The sequence below is a fragment of the Homo sapiens genome, chromosome 4 (genome assembly GCF_000001405.40).
Source record: "Homo sapiens chromosome 4, GRCh38.p14 Primary Assembly".
Taxonomy (NCBI): domain Eukaryota; kingdom Metazoa; phylum Chordata; class Mammalia; order Primates; family Hominidae; genus Homo; species Homo sapiens.
In genome coordinates this window covers 99,034,491-99,053,443 of record NC_000004.12, presented here as the reverse complement: position 1 = coordinate 99,053,443, position 18,953 = coordinate 99,034,491, and the positions used below count along the sequence as shown (strand labels likewise).

The 18,953-nt window shown below is 36.1% G+C and overlaps 1 protein-coding gene across 15 annotated transcripts in view; it reads right to left on the bottom strand.

The window, feature by feature from the left end:
* METAP1 (methionyl aminopeptidase 1) overlaps positions 1 to 18,953 on the bottom strand; it is a 67,089-nt gene that overhangs the window by 9,366 nt on the left and 38,770 nt on the right. For 8 of the 15 annotated variants that reach the window (NM_015143.3, XM_011531777.4, XM_047449884.1 and 5 more), the window contains 6 exons: positions 17,984 to 18,044; positions 13,979 to 14,070; positions 12,318 to 12,401; positions 10,057 to 10,195; positions 8,134 to 8,265; positions 4,568 to 4,711 (listed from right to left, as the gene is read on the bottom strand). In NM_015143.3, coding sequence (NP_055958.2) covers positions 4,568 to 4,711; positions 8,134 to 8,265; positions 10,057 to 10,195; positions 12,318 to 12,401; positions 13,979 to 14,070; positions 17,984 to 18,044 — 652 coding nt within the window. Of the gene's footprint in view, positions 1 to 4,567; positions 4,712 to 8,133; positions 8,266 to 10,056; positions 10,196 to 12,317; positions 12,402 to 13,978; positions 14,071 to 15,502; positions 16,320 to 17,354; positions 17,402 to 17,432; positions 17,458 to 17,983; positions 18,045 to 18,953 lie in introns of those variants that run through there. The other 7 variants (XM_011531779.3, XM_024453946.2, XM_024453947.2 and 4 more) reach the window with 5 other exon arrangements.

Genomic DNA, 18,953 nt, shown 5'->3' with positions numbered 1-18,953 from the left:
CCATTTCTACTAAAAATACAAAAAAAAATAGCCAGGCAGGGTGGTACGTGCCTGTAATCCCAGTTACTCAGGAGGCTGAGGTGGGGGAATCACCTGAGCCCAGGAGGTGGAGGCTGCAGTGAGCTGAGATCGTGCCACTGCACTCCAGCCTGGGCAACCAGAGTGAGACCCTGTCTCAAAACAAACAAAAACAAAACCAAAACCAAAAAATTGTGATTCATGGGAGGAAATTGTGTGATGCATGAGAGGAAGCCAAATATCAATATTAACATGAGTTGGGCAGAAAGTGATTTCAACCCTTTTGGATGACTATGAGGAGTTTGAAACTTAGTGGAGCAAGTAACTGCAGATGTGGTGGAAAGAGCAAGAGAACTAGAATTAGTAATGGAGCCTGAGGATGTGAGTGGATTGCTGCAATCTCATGATGAAACTTGAACAGTTGAGTAGCTGCTTCTTACAGATAAACAAAGAAAGTAGTTTCTTGAAATGGAATCTACCCATAGAGAAGATGTTGAGATGACAACAAAAGATTTGGAATATTACATAAACTTAGTTGATAAAACAGGAGCAGGGTTTGAGAGAACTGACTCCAATTTTCAAAGAAGTTCTGTGGATAAAATGCTATCAAACAATATCACAAGCTACAGAAAAATCCTTCGTGAAAGGAAGAGTCAATCAATGTGACACACTTTGTTGTCTTATTTCAAGAAACTGCCACAACAACCCTGATATGGTTTGGATCTGTGTTCCTACCCAAATCTTATGTTGAAATGTAATTCCCAGTGTTGGAGGAGAGGCCTGGTGGAAAGTGACTGGATCCTGGGCGCAGAGTTCTCATGAATGGTTTAGCACCACCTCCCTTGGTACTGCACAGTGAATGAGTTGTCATGAGATCTGGTTGTTTCTCCTCCCATGCACTCTCTCTCTTGCTCCTGCTCCCACCATGTGAGACACTCACTCCCTCTTTGCCTTCCGCCATGATTGTAAGTTCCCTGAGGCCTCTCCAGAAGCTGATGCTGCCATGCTTGTATAGCCTGCAGAACCGTGAGCCAATTAAGCCTCTTTTCTTTATAAATTACCCAGGTTCTAACAAGAATTCTACCAGGAATTTCTAACAATGTGAGAATGTAATACAAACCCCAGCCTTCAGCAACCACCACCCTGATCAGTTAGTAGCCATCAACATCAAGAGAAGACCTTTCACCAGCCAGAGGATTACAACTCACTGAAGACTCAGATGACTGTTAGCATTTTTTAGCAATAGAGTATTTTTAAATCAAGGGTTGTGCATTGTTAGACTACACACACAATAGACTACTGTATAAACATAACTTTTTATGCACTGCACTGGGAAACCAAAAAATCTGTATGACTTGCTTTATTGTGATATTCACTATATTGCAAGGGTCTAGAACCAAACAGTTACCTCTGAGGTATGCCTGTACAGTTTAAATGCAGAGTATTATCATCATTACTTCCCACCCATTGATTCAAACATAGAAGCAAATAAACTCTCACCTAACAAGGATTTCTCCTACATAGAAGGAGTGGAGGAATGTTATACAACAATTTCCTGGTTCTTCCCTCATTTGGGCTAGGAATATAGAGTTACAAACTAAAGCAGAGATTTACATTTCAAAAGATATCTCTGCTATACAAAAAAAAAAACCCTCAATAGTTTAATACTTCCCTACAGTGATCATTGCATATTTTGTTTTACATAAATGTGACTCTTCATAAACATAATATATAAGGCTGGGTGTGGTAGCTCACACCTGTAACCCCAGCTCCTTGGGAGCCTGAGGTGAGCAGACTGCTTGAGCCCAGGAGTTTGATATCAGTCTGGGCAACATGGAGAAACCCTGTCTCTACAAAAATATAAAAATTAGCCAGGGATGGTGGCCCACACCTGAAGTACCAGCTACTCAGGAGGCTGAGGTAGGAGGACTGCTTGAGCTCTCGGAGGTCAAGGTTCCAGTGAGCTGTGACTGCACCACTACACTTTAGCCTAGGCGACACAGCGAGATCCTGTCTCAAAAAAACTATATAAAATAAAGTACACCTGGGTCTTTGTTCCTCTTTTCATAATTGTTTCTTATGTCTAATCAAATGCTTTAATAGGAAACTCACATGACACCTTTTGTATAACAGTGGCAACATATTTTGCTGACACTATAACCACTGACCAAAATCCCCTTCTCCCATAAATATTATTGTCTTCAGTCTCTCTCTTTCCCTCACACTCAAATCCATATCTAAACTCAAATTTTATTGCTTCTGCAAGTAAGGGGACTGTTTTCATTCCCTCCCCTGCACATACTCTTACATACACACACCCCACTGTAACTAGAATAGCTACTTCCATTCTGTGAAAGGGAATGCATATTCAGATGATTACAGGGTATAAAAGGAAGGAATGAAGTCAGTTACCTATTTTCTGTTGCTAGCTTTTATTTCAAGCATGATTCACATTTTAAATAAAAAGAATTAGGTGGTCTGCTAATAACCATTTATTGACACACATTAGATGCTGTGCTCTAAACCAGCAGTCCCCAACCTATTTTGCACTAGGGACCGGTTTTGTAGAACAGAATTTTTCCACAGACCAGGAGGATTTTGAGGGTACAAGCCTTGGGGGGATGATTCAGGATGAAACTGTTCCACCTCAGATCATCAGGCATTAGATTCTCTCATACGGAGTGCGCAACCTAGATCCCTCACATGCACAGTTCACAACAGGGTTCAAACTCCTATGAGAATCTAATGCCACTGCTGATCTGACAGCAGGTGGAGCTCAGGTGGTAAAGCTCGCTTGCTTGCTGCTCCCCTCATGCTGTGCAGCCCAGCTCCTAACAGGCCATGGATTGGTACCTGTCTGCGGCCCAGGGGCTGGGGACCCCTGCTCTGAATGACTGCTCCAGCTTCTCCCTTAGAAAGGTTGCTCACTCATTTCACTTTCTCTTCACAACTATCCACGTCTAGGATTTTACCACCTCACACCTGCACTACAGCAACAACTGTCCATCAGGCCAACTATCTTCAGAACTCCCACCTGCAATCCATCTTAGTCACCACTGCCAAATTAGCCTTCTCAAAATATCAGCTTCATTATGCCATTCTTCTGCCCAAAAATATTTCTGAAGATTCCGACATACAAGTCAAATTCCTTCAGTCTGGCATTTGGCACACCTGGACTGCCTGCTGCTAGTCCTTAACATATAACTCAGCCAACCTTATATTTTCTCTGTTTTTCTCTATTTGAAGCACCCATGTTCACCCACCAACTGGCTTTTTCTCCTCTCCACCCAACCAAAACTTAGTTCTCCCACCGCCCCCTGCACCAAATTTCTTCAATCCTTACTCGTCAGCATGAAGTATGGGAGAAAAGACTGACTCCAGAAAGCAAGACAGAACCCAGGTATCAATGCTAGTCTGGCATTTAATTACTAGTTTGTGTGACCTTGAGCAAGCCAATTACCTCTGTAAGCACAGAGTTGCTTTAAAAAAATTGGGCTAAGAAGTTATCCATAGAGTTGTGATGATCAAATGAGATAATGCATATTACTGTCATTGTAAACATTAACATTAAATGCTTTCATGTACTGTTTTCATGCAGAATTCTAAGTGCTTTCCATGTATCATCTCACTTAATCCTCATAACAATTCTACAGTAAGTACCATTCCCTACTATTGTACAGATGAAAAAAATTAAGCACAAGGAGATGAAAGTGTTCATCTAGCAGCGGCTCAAAATATATGTGCTAAGTTCCTTCCTAGGTCACTTACTGTGGACAGCTTTCATTTCTGACATTAAATAACAGATTCATTCCTGAACATGTTCTTCTCTCTCTACAGAAAATGTTTCTGTAAGATATTATCTATCTTACACTTTCTTTGTTATTGTATCACACGGCACTCAACCTAAGGAAAGGCACTTTGTTTATTCCCCTCTATTTATATAAACAAATATTACAGGATCTGACATACATTAAACACTCAAACCAAGCAAGACGAACTGACTTCACCTAAGGAATCAGAAGAGTAATGGCTAGGCCTGTGGCAAACTGTTGACTGTTTGCCAAAATAAGGTTACTTTTCTTCCATAACACAATTAGATTACGTTTTCCCATCTCCCTTGCATTTAAATGTAGCCATGTGACTGAATTCCTGCCAATGGAAAATAAATTTGATTTATGCCAATTCCAGCTGTCTGTTAAAAACTCCCAGGTATACCCCTTCAAGCTTCAACCCCCAACATCTCCACTATCTACTGACCAGGAGGGCAACTCCCAAAGTGACTTTGAAAGCCATAGGTCAAAGATGACACAGCCTGTGTCACATAGTAACTGCCCTGCCCCCACAGTGACCAAACACACCTGCCTTGGACTATTATGTGAGTAAGATACGAACTTGCACTGTGTTTCAGCAAATACACATTTTGGGAATCTATCTATTACAGCTAAGAGATTACTCTAGTGAATACAAAATAGTAGGTACTGTTAAATGTATGAATAAGTATTTGTTGAATAAATGGTGAGCTTATACCAAATCTCTGGATAGTACTTACTAGCATAGTGGGGTACATTGGGAGCTGTATGAAAAAGCTTGTGGATTCCATGCCCACAATAGCTTCGAACAACTGAAAACCCATTTGCTTGGGCATGCTTCTGGATAATGTTTCCCAATTCTCTGTACCGAACACCAGGCTTCACTGAAAGGAAAAAAGAAAATTCATGATAAACTAATAACTAATACGTACTAAGCAATTACTATCAACCAGATGCAGTGGCTCATGCCTGTAATCCCAGCACTTTGAGAGGTCAAGGCAGGAAGATCGCCTGAGCTCAGGAGTTCAAGACCAGCCTGGGCAACAGGGCAAAGCCCTGTCTCTGCAAAAAATATGAAAATTAGTCCCGCATAGTGGTGCATGCCTATAGTCCCAGCTACATTTGGGAGGCTGTGCTAGGAGGATCACTAGAACCCGGGAGGTCAAGGCTGCAGTGTTCCTGCCACTGTACTCTGGCCTGGGCAAAAGAGAGAGACCTTGTCTCAAAATAGAAAAAGAAAAAAAAAAAGTAATTACTATCTTTGTGCTAGGAAGTTTTTGAAACACTTTTATGCATCCATGCCTCAACTTACAGATGAGGCACAGAGAGGCCAAACAGCCAGTAATTGGTAAAGTTCTAATTCAAACCAAGGGCATCTGTAGTTCCTCCTTTCATGCCAAAAACGTTAGACTCATAGCAGCACTAAAGGGTTGGAAGTAGGTACCTTTTGCTTTCTTTAACAACAGAGAAAAATAGAGAGGAAAATACACTTCTTTTCGCATCCTTCCCTAAGGCCAAGTGTTCCATTCTATTAATATGAGCAGAAGAGATAAGAAAGTGCACTAGGAGTAAAAGGAACGTCCAAAAAGTAACGAATTGTCCTGAGTTTCAGCCTGGACAACTTCTAAAAGACTTACTTCCCCTGGGCTTCTTTATCCCCATAAAAATAGTTCTCAAACTTTCCATGACTGCCTCTACAGGACAACCCTAGAGGTACAGTACAGGAAAGATACTTCTCACTATATACACTTTCTGCTCTGTTTAGTTTTTATGACTTTTACTAGTGTTTCAATAAAACACAAAACAAAAAAAGTGGTTCTCATCACTATAAGGTTCTCCCTCACACTAAGACCCAGGAGCTGGGCACTGTCAGACTCCTAGAGAACCTCAAGATGGCTCTGGGGATCCTTAACTCTCTCTACTCTCCTACTCAGCCTATCTGATTCCCAGACTGAGGTTCAGATACAATGTATCTTTCCCATCCATTTCAGGGTAAATAGCTCAAGGAATCAGTTTAATTAACATTTTTACTTGCTCTTAACTGTATTTTGCAGCTTGATTTTGGGGGGAGAAGGAAGGAGGTTTCTGGTTTTGAAAAATCATGCTGACTTTCATAATTACTTTCTTTCATTCCTATCCAGGCCTTCCTATCAGCCTGGGGTGGGAGGGGGAACAATATTGTAATCCATGTTGCATAGAAAGAGTGACAGAGGAAGTCTTCCCTAATTTTCAAACTGCTCCAACTGCGGCCCCAAGGGTAGTATCTAGAGATATTAATATTTCTGGTTGTCAAACACAGGGTGGTGGTGTAACTGGCATTTACTGGGTAGAGACCAGGAATGCTTGTGGAACATCTTATGTGTATAGAACAGGTCTCTACAACAAAAAATTATCAGGCCCAAAAGCCACTAAGTGCATAGACTAAGAAACCCTACTTAAGAAGCCTAATTTCAACAGCTTTTCAAACCCTCTACCTGGGGGAGTAAGGGAGGTGCAAAATGAGGGGCAAAAATGATATATACAAAGGAATTCAAAGCACTTTCCAAAAAAGATCAAGCCACTTTCGTTCCTTCCTGGCTACTGTTATGAAAACTATTGGCAAGTTCCAGTCATACGTCATATAAAACAGCATTCTAACTATCTGGTTTTTTCTTTTTCTTTTTTTTTTTTTTTTTTTTTTGTTTCTTCAGTTGATTCACAGAGAAGCAAAAAGAATAGAAATATTGACTATATTATCTGGCAGAAACTCTAAAAATTATTTCAAACTTAAGCTTTCACAAATGACAAATTAAACATTAAATTTCTTCAATTCCACCTCCTGTATTAATGTTTTAAAATAATCAACAATGAGTAATAAGTTTTCAAAATTTCACCTGATACACAAAAATATCATATTCCTTCATTTCCATTCCTCCAACTTGAGTAAAAATTTCATCTCCCATACACATTAAAGAACGCACTAAAAACAATAAAAATACTGGATCAACATTATTAGAGATAACTGTATGTTTGTCTAAGAACTCTGTCCTGTTCACTATTCTGTTGATGACATCAAGATTTGGAGAGACTGGGGAGGATTGCAGGTAGCACACTGGTAATAAAGTTGATATGGTAAGGATTTAACCAGAAGGCTGTTTGCCCATTTATTAACAGTTTGTTAACAACTCCAACAAGATGCTGTTAAGAACTTTCCTTTCTTTTTTTTCTTTTCTTCTTTTTTTGAAATGGAGTCTCGCTCTGTTGCCCAAGCTGGAATGCGGTGGCACAATCCACTTCCCAGGTTCCAGCAACTCTCCTGCCTCAGCCTCCCGAGTAGCTGGGATTACAGGCGCCCGCCACCACACCTGGCTAATTTTTGTATTTTTATTAGAGACAGGGTTTCACCATGTTGGCCGGGCTGGTCTCGAACTCTTGACCTCAAGTGATCTGCCAACCTCAGCCTCCCAAGGTGCTGGGATTACAGGAGTGAGCCACCATGCCCAGCCCCTTTCCTTCTCTTATCCCCATAAGATACTGATTAAACAAAAAAGCCTCGATAAGTTGTTCATATGTACAAAGACAGACAGCCTGAGAAAAATCCTCCAGAAATACACCCCTACCCATTACTACAATAGTAAGAAATCTGGAAAGCACCAAAATCCAACAGAATAGTTACACAAATTGTAATACTATAGAATATAATACATAGCCATTAAAAGAATGAGGTAAATCTATGTCTGTAGGTATATATGCTAACTTGAAAAGATCTCTATGATAGTTGAAAAAACAGCCCAGTTACACATTAAAAATATTATGATTCCATTTAACTTAATTTAACACATACACATACGTGTGTGCATTAATGCACAGGAGAGAGAAAAAACCTAAACGGTAATGGGATATCTCTAGAGAGAAGAGAGAGATAAGAGGGGAGGCAAGTGTAAAGGAGGATCACACATTTTTCACTCATAATCTTCACTTTTAATTTTTTATGAGGAGAACATAATATTTATGTACTGGAAAGAATTTTAAAAATAGAATAAAAGTTGCACTAAAAAACCATCTGCACAGTCCTCTTCATTTATCAGGCAAAGAAAAGGAAGATAAATCACAGAAGAAACAAAGGATGCTAACCAATCATCTGGTCTATCACCACCAAGAGATTCCCAGATCATCCTTTTACCCATTACTGCTAACAACCAAAGCTAACTCAGGTAGAACAGGGGCAACCTGGAAGGTACAAGGAATGCACAGAACTGCAGCGCCCAGTCATTCTTGGCCCATCAACACACAGGACTGCCAATAGGTGCTCAACACTGAGGCTGACCTGCATCAATGGCTTGCATCAGGCACTCATATGTGGTCTGAACAAGTTTCCGTGCTCCATCATCCACTTCTCCAACAAAAAATGTCTCATTCAGGTCCCCATGATAACCATTGCGATAAAGAGTGATATCCACTGCAAGAGAATGTGCAAATATAAAGACCATACTTATTTTCATTTCAAAATTCAAGTGTTTTTCCAACATGACAGCATCTAGCAACTTAATGAAAAAGACAACTTCTGCATTCTCAAATTAGACACCAATGGATAGATAGTTATTGCCCAACAGAAGCTCCCTGAGATGTAACTGAACTCACTGTGGAGAGCAGGAATATGGCCATGTAACATAAGCCAGATAGTGGGTTTTTATACTCTTATAGTAATTGTATCACTTGTGGCAAAAGAAAAATGTATGTGGGACACAATCATGCAAAATAAATTACCAGAGTTAGTAACATTAAATTGAAAACTTTGCTACATTGCTACAAAATACCATTTTCACTTATCTTTTACAAGTTCCTTACTCCTGCTAGGGAATAACAGAAAAATTTACACTGCTCTACACCTGTTTTTTTAAAACTCATTTGCTTTTCTCTTATTTGTGAATATTCATTCTTCTCTTTGTCCCCATGTTTAAGAATATAGATTACTATTATACTATATATTATATACTATTATACCATTATAATGTATCTAGAGAGCACATTGAGTATTTTTAAACCACATATTTCAATCAACCTGTAACATCACAATATAGATATTTTGGTTCTAGCACAACACATACATTCCTGAAAAACCTCACACATTCTACATATAATAAAAATAACAGGCTTTATATTTGAAAAACAGGGTTGGCCTCAAAACCTATGGAACTTTATGAACAGATACCCTAACTAAAGCAGTAGCAATTCTAATAAAAATAGTGTCATAGTTAAATTTCGGCTATCATTCACAGCTAGCATCACAATCAGTCAATTATCTGCAGCCTCTAACACTTGGGCTCATGCTTCCTCATTTGATAGGTAGTTCCTTTAAGATATCTTATTAACAAAGAGTCTAATTCCATCAATATTAAAATGCCATCTAAGCCAGGCACGGTGGCTCATGCCTGTAATCCCAAGACTTTGGGAGGCCAAGGTGGGCAGATGCTTGAGTCCAGGAGTTTGAGACCAGCCTGGGCAACATGGCAAAACCCCATCTCTACAAAAAATACAAAAACTGAGCTGGGCATGGTAGCAATGAGCCTGCAGTCTCATCTACTTCTGAGGTGGGAGGATCACCTGAGCCAGGGAAGTCAAGACTGCAGTGAGCCATGGTGGCGCCCCTGCACTCGAGCCTGGGTGACAGTGAGACCCTGTCTCCAAAAAATAAAATAATACACAAAACAAAAACAAATGCCATCTAGGAAAGCCTTCATTAATGTCTTTTAAACTACTTCCTCTACTCTCTATACTTGTAACTTCCCAAGGTAGCTTAACATAGGGGTCTTTAAAGCTACTTCCACTCAAGTAAGGCACTTCTGCAAGATTTTCAGCTTTCCTTTAGGTCTTCATATATTATGAAGGGTTTTCCTGTATCTATAACAAAGCCTGCCCTGGTCTCTTCAAAACCATTAGTGAACTTCTGGGGGAAAAAAACTAGACTCCACATTTCACTGACATCTTTGACCTATTTACCAATCACATATGAGATAAGCATTAAAGAAATACACTGCACCAAACACATCACACCGGAAGTATCTTAAAAGCAACATGCACAAAACCGTTAAGAGAGCTTCCTGTAGATTTAAGAGTTAGTGATACTGAATTTTAAAAAGGAAAAAGTTTAAGTACAGGAAGCAAGTCAAGAAAACACAAGTCACTGTCAGATTCCCCAAGCTTTGTTGTTTCTTTGCCCATGGTGATGAAAGTAACATATTTTTCTTACCATTAACAATGTCACCTTCTTGTAAGGGCCTTCTGTCTGGTATTCCATGGCAAATGACTTCATTCACTGAGGTACAACAAGACTTTGGGAAATTATAATAATTCAGGGGAGAAGGGTAGCAATTTCTTGCAATACATGCCTATAATACAGAAAAAATAATTTGGAATATATAAAAGAAAAAATCTGTATGAAATTACAGATTTTAAAATTTGAAAAATGTGAAAACAGTTGGACACATGCTACTATGAAGAACTCAGTATTTTATTTTAGTAACAGTACTGGATATTATCTTAAACAATATACAACAGGGTTTGTGCCAGTCAGGTACACATACACAAACCAGTTTACTGGTAACTGCACAAAGGAAAAGTAAAATGACATACAGGTTAAGTATTCCTAATCCAAAAATCTGAAATCCTCCAAAATCTGAAACTTTCTGAACACCGACAGGACACTCAAAGAAATGCCCATTGGAGCATTTAGAATTTCAAATTTGAAATTACAGACACTTAACCAGTTACGTATAATACAAATATTCCAAAATCCAAAAAAATTCAAAATTCAGAACACTTCTGGTCCAAAGCATTTCAGATAAGGGATACTCAACCTCTATAACAAATATATATATAAATATTACCACATATGAAGATTTTACTTTAGAATTAACTAGTCCTTATGAAAAATGTTAAAGTAAAAATAAAATATTTGAAGTAAATATTAACAAGCATTTTTGATGTAATTATAATTCTTATGTTGAAACAAGCCTATATCACTATGCCCCAAAAATGACTACTAGTATAATTAAGAAACGGTAAAGTACTTCCAGATATTTTAATAACCACATTCAGTGGAACAACAAAAGAACTCCTAACAGAAAAACATGGTCTGCTCTCCATAACAAGTCTTACTTTACTGGATGCTTTTACACAGTGGTAATCACAGTATACGTAATTTCTGTTTCCAACCTGCTCTAGTCTTCAGGCTAATATTTTTTAATGGTTGCACAATATACCATTTGCAGAATATGCAGAATATACCATGATTTTACTAGCAATTCCATTCTTACTGAAAATCTAAATTAATATGAAGTTTCCTCAATTACAAAAAAAAAAAAAATCTTACAACCAATAACTACATTTGTGGCTTTTCCCTCATTTAGGAATATACTTCTCTACTTCTCATAGCATTACAAATAATAGTTCAGAGCATACAGAATTAGACTTTCTAGATTGAAAATGCCAATTCCATCACTTACAAGTTGTGTAACTTTTACCAATTTAATTAATTAACCTCTCTCTTCCTCAGTTTCCTTACCTATAAAACGGAGATTACAATAGTACCTACCCTCAAGAGGTTGTTGGTAAGATTAATGAGTTAATGTAAAAGAAGCACTTGAGTACCTGGCCCACAGAGCATACTCAAAATGCTATTATTGCATACGATACGTCTTATACTAACATATGAAACAATACCCAAAAGTCAGGATTAATAAGATTCTGAATAAAAAATTTATAAACATTTTCATAGCTCAAGATAGATTGTCAAATCCTTCCAAAAGGGTTCTTCCAATTTACAATACCATCACCAAGCAGAAGAGAGGACCAGTTTCATCATTTCCACACAAGCAATGCATATAAACATCTTTAAAATACAAATTTACTAGGTCTTTATAATTTGTATTTGTTTACTAGAACACGTGTGATCTGCTTTCCATATGTTATATTAACTACTTATCACTCTTTTTTTTAAAATTCATATAATGTGTACACTCATCTAATAAGGTCTTAAGGTCTCTCTTTGATGGGCAGACAATCTTTATTTATTTATTTTTAATCCCTATACTTACTACAAATATTTATGTGGACTGTTCATTGCCTTGAGGAAACATTTAACTAATCTACCATCAGAAGTCATATTCTTTTTTTTATTTCAGAATATTTGATGTCTGTAGTGGCAGGATTTACTTAAAGCAGATAAAATCAATCATTTTATAAAAGCTCAACTGAAATGCTTATTACAAATATGTTGTTTCAGAAACAAGATATTTCAAGCTTACCTCAGACCTTAATATTATAGATTCTTAAAGATGAGAATAATGACTGTTGAATGTTTTCCATATTTGAAACAAAGCAAAAATTTGCTTTCAAATGAGTTTACCCAAGTTACCTTAGACACTCAGAACTTAAATCTACTTAATGTTTAAGTTCAAAGCATCTAGTAATGTAACAAAATTACTCAAAGTAAAAAAGTGAAGTTCTTACTAAGTGTACAGCGTGATCTATTTCTTCAGTAGTTACACCTGGTTTAATCATGCCGGCAGCAACATCCAAAACTTCTCTAGCAAGCTGTAAAAAAGGAACACTCAATACATTAAAAAAGACACAGAAACAGAAATCTATACCCTTTCTACTGTTTGACTGTGGAAGATTGGTAAAAATGAATCTCCCCTTGAATATTATAATTTTATAGAAAATATATAAATATATTATATGTAAATACATAAAAACAAACATTAATTTTATATAAAAATTGGGTTAACAAGCAAGCAGCAGTAAGGTTGGCTGATTTCTATGTGAAAATATACATCCTAAGAAATCTAAACTATCATCAACTGATAGAGGTAGTCTTCTCTCATTTCTATAATGGGGAAAAGTAGAGGAAAAGAAAAAAGAACAGATGAGCCTGGGCAACATAGTGAGATCCTGTCTCTTAAAAAAAAAAAAAAAAAAAGTAGTCAGGTGTAGTGGCACATGCCTGTGATCCCAGCTACTCAGGAGGCTGAGGTGGAAGGATAGCTTGAGCCCAGGAGTTTGGAGTTACAGTAAGCTATGAGCTATGATCTATATGATCTATGATTGTGCCACTGTACTCTAGCCTGAGTGATAGCAAGACCCTGTCTCAAAAAAAAAAAAATAGATGAATGAATTCCTCAAAGAATCACAGCAAGTCATAGGAAGAGAAAGTTCTCCAGGATATCAAACAAAATTAGAATCAAATCACTTTTAAAGCACTGAATAGAAACCTTAAGAATCTTACTTAAATGAATAATATCAATGTATTATATTTTCCTTCAGAATAAATATGTGATTTCACCTAATGAGTACCAACCACTACTACCACTCATCATAGGTATTTCACAAAAAGGCCTACAGCATAACCCTCTGAGCCTTAAACTCTGTCCTATGTTATGATGACTTGTGAAAATAAAATGACAAAATGTTTTTAAATATCATTAAATAAATGAAAAGGATTGTCATCTAAATATAGACTATCCACCAGATTAATTCTGAAATAGGCTTTTAAGAAGAAAACTGTTGACTAAAATTATATACTAACAATAGTTTAATGAAAAGCATGGCTAAACCGGGCACAATGGCTCACGCCTGTAATCCCAGCACTGTGGGAGGCCGAGGCGGGCAGATCACCTTACGTCAGGAGTTAGAGACCAGCCTGGCCAACATGGTGAAACCCTGTATCTACTAAAAATACAAAAAAAGGCCAGGTGTGGTGGCTCACGCCTGTAATCCCAGCATTTTGGGAGGCCAAGGTGGGCAGATCACGAGGTCAGGAGTTCGAGACCAGCCTGGGCAACATGGTGAAACCCCATCTCTACTAAAAATACAAAAATTAGCCAGGTGTGGTGGTGGGCACCTGTAATCCCAGCTACTCAGGAGGCTGAGGCAGAAGAATCGCTTGAAAACAGAAGGTGGAGGTTGCAGTGAGCAGAGATCACGCCACTGCACTCCAGCCTGGGCGACAGAGTGAAACTCTGTCTCAAAAAAAAGTTAAAAAAAAAAAAAAAGCATGGCTGGTCAGTCTAACAATATAACATTTGCTATCTTTATAAATCAGCAAACCACTGACTTCATGTCTAAGTACTGCTTAAACATTTCCTACCCCATGGAGAAAAAATCACTCTTACCCTACATACAAGTCGCATCCCTTCTATATCTTCAGATGAGAGTAATTTAATCTGAGAAGTACCTTTAAGAGCCTGTTCAGATTCAGACATTCCTGGAATGAAAATTCGGTAAGTAAAACCAAAATGAATGCAAAGATGTAGTATTTATTTGCATAATTATAAACCTGTGGCATAAAAACAGTAGTCTCACTGTTTCACACAACAGTAATTCATGATTTGGGATGGTCTAGGTTAGATTTTTAAAAAAAAACATTTTCAACATCAAAGGGAAACTCGCTAAACCAACTGAAGAAAAAATTCTAAAAGATAAATTTTCAGACCTATTAGAAATCAGCCAATACTTATAGAGTACTTATTATATGCCAGGCCGTGTGATAATCAGACTCAGTAAATGATATACATTTGAAAAGTACCACAGAATTTACAAATTACTTTCATAATCATCTCATGAAGCAATTATACATCAACAACTGATGAATTAATTACACTATTTTCTGAAACAGGAACCAAAGTTAAGTGTTTTTCAATCTCCAGTTTGTGACCTTTTATTAGGCTACACTTAACATTTTTTAAAAGTAAATAAATGGGACAGAAAATATTAAAATGGCATAACAAAGTATTATACTCGTATTATACGGAGTAGGAATAAGTGCTGCCATGAAATCTTTATTTATATACACATACAAAGATCACGTTATAAAAGCCATTTCTGAGTCATACTCAAAAAAGTTTTAAAAATATTGCCCTAAAAATCTTCACTAATAAAATTTGTTAGCTTCAAGTTTTACATACATGAAAAGTAATAAAGCCAGGATAGCAATTAACTCAAAATCTAACAAAAATAATGTCAACTAATCTTATTTACAAGTACTAATGGAAAAATTCCAAATAAAAATATTAACAAACAGAATCCAAAAAAACTTAATACATCAGGATGCAAGTGAGATTCATACCAGAAGGCAAGGATAGTTCAATACTGACAAATCTATTCATCCAATTCATCATTCATAAATAAAGTAAAAGTAAATAATCATCTAGAAGGAAAGTTAATTCTGATAACATGGCCAGCTACCACCTTGACATGATAAATATAAATCTCAAACTGAGAACCAACATTACAGAATGCCCACTATCGGCACTATTATTTAACACTGTCCTGGCAATACTAGCAGATGCAATTAAACAAGAGAAAGAAATAAAACATATAAAACTAGAAAAGAAAGGACAAAATTCTTATCAATTTCAGATGTGATTATGTATCTCTAGAACAGAAGAATCACCTGGTAAATGACCATAAATACAAATTCAGCAAGTTGGCATATTGTTTAAGATAAATTTATCAAAATCAATAACTTTCCCACATACAAATAATCAGCTAAAAAATACAGAAGCTATTATGTACAAAAACAACTAAAAAGATGAAGTACCCAGGAATAAATTTAACAATAAAATCCCTACATGAAGAAAATCTGAAAACACCACTGAAAGACATAAAAGGAGTCAAATAAAACTTTAAAAACATACCCTGTTCCTGGACAGGAAGACTCAATATTGTAAAGATGTCAATTCTTCCAAAATTAATCTATAAATTTAATACTATCCCAATAAAAAAATGTCAACAGGATAATTTTGAGAACCAGACAAGCTGATTCTAAATTTCACATGGAAAAACAAACATGCAAGAATAGCCAGGAAAATTCTGAAAAAGAGGAAAGGTAGGGGCAACAAGGCCTACCAAATATTAAACATTATATAGCTATGATAATTAAAAGTTTGGCAGTGGTACATGATTAGACAAATGGGTTAATAAAACAGAATAGAATCCAGAAATAGACCTAAAGACATGTGAGAACATAATACAACAATATAGGTTGCACTTCAAATCAATAAGGAAAGGCTGATTTTTTAAATAACTGGTGATATAATAACCAGGTATCCTTCTGAGAAAAAAAATTAAGTTGCATCCCTATTTAACTCCTTATGCCAAGTAAGTTTCAGATATACAAATGATTTTTATCATACATAAAAAAGACTGAAACCATAAAAATGCTAGAAGAAAACATAGGAATATTTTTTTATAACTTCTGCACCAAAAAGGTCTTTCTAGGTCATAGAGCCATACACACTGTAAAATAAAACACTGATAAATTTTACTATGTTAGGATACTCAAAATCTGTAATAAATGTAATGACAAAACAAACGGTCAATTGGTAAAAAACAGTTTTAAAAACATACATCAAAAGGTTATTTTCGTTAATATACTAAGAACATTTATAAATCAATATGGAAAAAACTAGTACTCTAACAGGGAAAAAAAGGCTAAGGATATGAATAAACATTTCAAAAGGGAAGAAAATATAAATGACTTTAATATATGAAAAGATGCTCAACCTTACTCATAATTTTAAAATGCAGATTAAAATAATAGCAAAATAACATTTTTCGTCTTTCAGATTAGCAAAGATCATAAAGCTTTGTAACACACTATGCTGCGAAAAATATAGCAGAAAAGAGACATCCATGTATTTTTAATGGAACTGGAAAAATCTCTGAAATTTGTAATATCTCTCAAAATCAAAAATGTATATATCCTTTGATCCACCTATTTTAGACTATCAACCTACAGAAATACTTTGACACATGGACAAAGATATAAATATAAGAGTAGTTACTGCAGTCAAATTGCAACAAATTTGCAGTCAAATTACAATAAGCAAAAACCTCGAAATGATCTAAACACTCAGTAGTAAAAGCCTGGCTTAAGAAATATGATACATCCACATAACCTTCATTCACTAAAAAGGAGGTGGCTTTATAAGACACATTTGTAAGACATATTAAGTGAATACAGCAAGGTGAAAAGGTAAATATAGTTTTTTCCATTTGTGTATAGATGGCAGAGACGGGGTCCTAATGTGTTTACATATATAGAATAGTTCTGAAAAGTTCTGTACATAAAGGTGAATAGCAGTTACCTCTAAGGACTAGAACTTACTTTCACTGCATAACATTTGTTAGAATTTACCTTGTCTATGATTGTTTTTCTAAAATACAAGCTAATACTACATTTAAGATTAAATAGAAAAATAATGAAATTATACATCCTCAACAGTAGGCTATCATTTAGACTATCTTTCCCTTAAATTTTTCTGAAATAGTAGGGTTTAACTAAAATTTAAAAATGATATTCATAAGAATGTTATGTAATACAGTTCCCCACTTCTTAGAGAACAAAGCAAGGATAGCTTAGCTTGCTAGATAAAACCACACAAAATTGCTGAGAGTCGACCTTCTTTGACATGCAAAATCAGTAATTTCACAAAGTCTAAATTAATTATGTGTACAGGCCTTAAGGTCAGAGATTGTTCCACTGACCTGTGTTGCAAATTACCTATCTTCGCTGGGTGTCTCAGTATCATTATCTATAAAAATGGAGAAGACAACAGAACCTACCTCAGCAGTGTTGAAAGTGTTAAATGGAGTAACACGTGCAAAGAACTTAGCACAGTGCCTGACACATAGTTAAGCAAAAATAAATACCAGTTATTATTAGAGAACCATCATCATCATATCATTCTCATCATTACTATCACTATCACCACCATTACTACTTCTGTTAATGTTACAGTCCAAAGTCTTTAGTTATGCATTCACTCAGGCCTCTACCATCTGCCTTTACCTAAATAGATATTGTTTAATTTAGATAGGAGGGAATATTAAAATTAAAAACTGTTTTTTAGTAAGTCTAGAAGTTGTTATAACAACATAAAATACAGTATTATTTTAAATATAGTCTTTAACAGCTACATAGTGTTTTCAGAGGTAGGTAGATTTCTAATGGGGGCAAGAATCTTTAATTCTCTTCAATGTTCTAATGGTGCTTGAAAACACATTTATTAGAAGTCCAGCACTGAAAAATTTCTACAAGAAAAGCATTCCTTCCCTTTGCAGTAGTCATCAAGCCCACAAATTGAAAAATGAAGAATCAACATAGCAGAGCTTACCTAAGGGATGATCAGCATAATCTGGTCTTTGAATATAACTTGGCACTGGCCTTGTTGGCATCTAAAAACAAAGTTAGTTAAAACTGATTTACCAACGAAAAATAAATAAAACGAGGGGAGAAAGAAGTCCATTCAAAAGTTTTTAGAAGTTTTAAATGGCATCTTAAATATTATAACAGATATATATTTCATTAAGATTATGCTTTACTTTTCCTAGTGGTAATGCCACCCCTTTTGCAGGGTATTTAGAAAGGGGGAAAGTGGCCAAGGCCATTAAGGATTTAAGATTAGACAGAGACTAATAACAAGACACCCATGTTATTCCAAACAAATTGGCAAGCTAACAACAATAAAATGATGTCTCAAAGTAAATATATACCAACATGTTCCTAGTCATTATCTCTGGGAGGCAGAATTAAGGAGATTTTGTTATGCTTTTCCTATTTTTCCAAATTTTAAAGATTAAAGATGTATTCCTTTTATAAAAAGAAAATCATCAGTAAAGAGAATTTAAATATTTAAGGGTGACAAACAGATTTCAACTTGAATGAATTCTTACATTAAGACTCCAAGTCCTATCTGCCAAGAATAGAGGAAGGCAAAAGAGTGGCAGAAAAGCCATATCTAAATTAAGGGAGAAATATATCATAATAAAATAATTTTAGAAAAGTATAATACAGTCAGTCCTCCATATCTCCTGGTTCTGCATCTGTTGACGCACAATCTGTGATACGGAAGGTTGACTTTAAGGGACTTGAGCGTCAGTGGATTTTCGTAACTATATGGGGAGTGAGGATGTCCTGGAACCAATCATCCATGGATATCGAGGGACGACTGTACACACTACCATCATGCCAGCAACAAAATATCTATTCTACCTTACCCTACACTTCTTTTTAAAAGTTTTAGTTCTTTCATCTAAAATTTTTCCCACTTCTTCCATGATTGCCAAACTACCAGCTCCCAAATG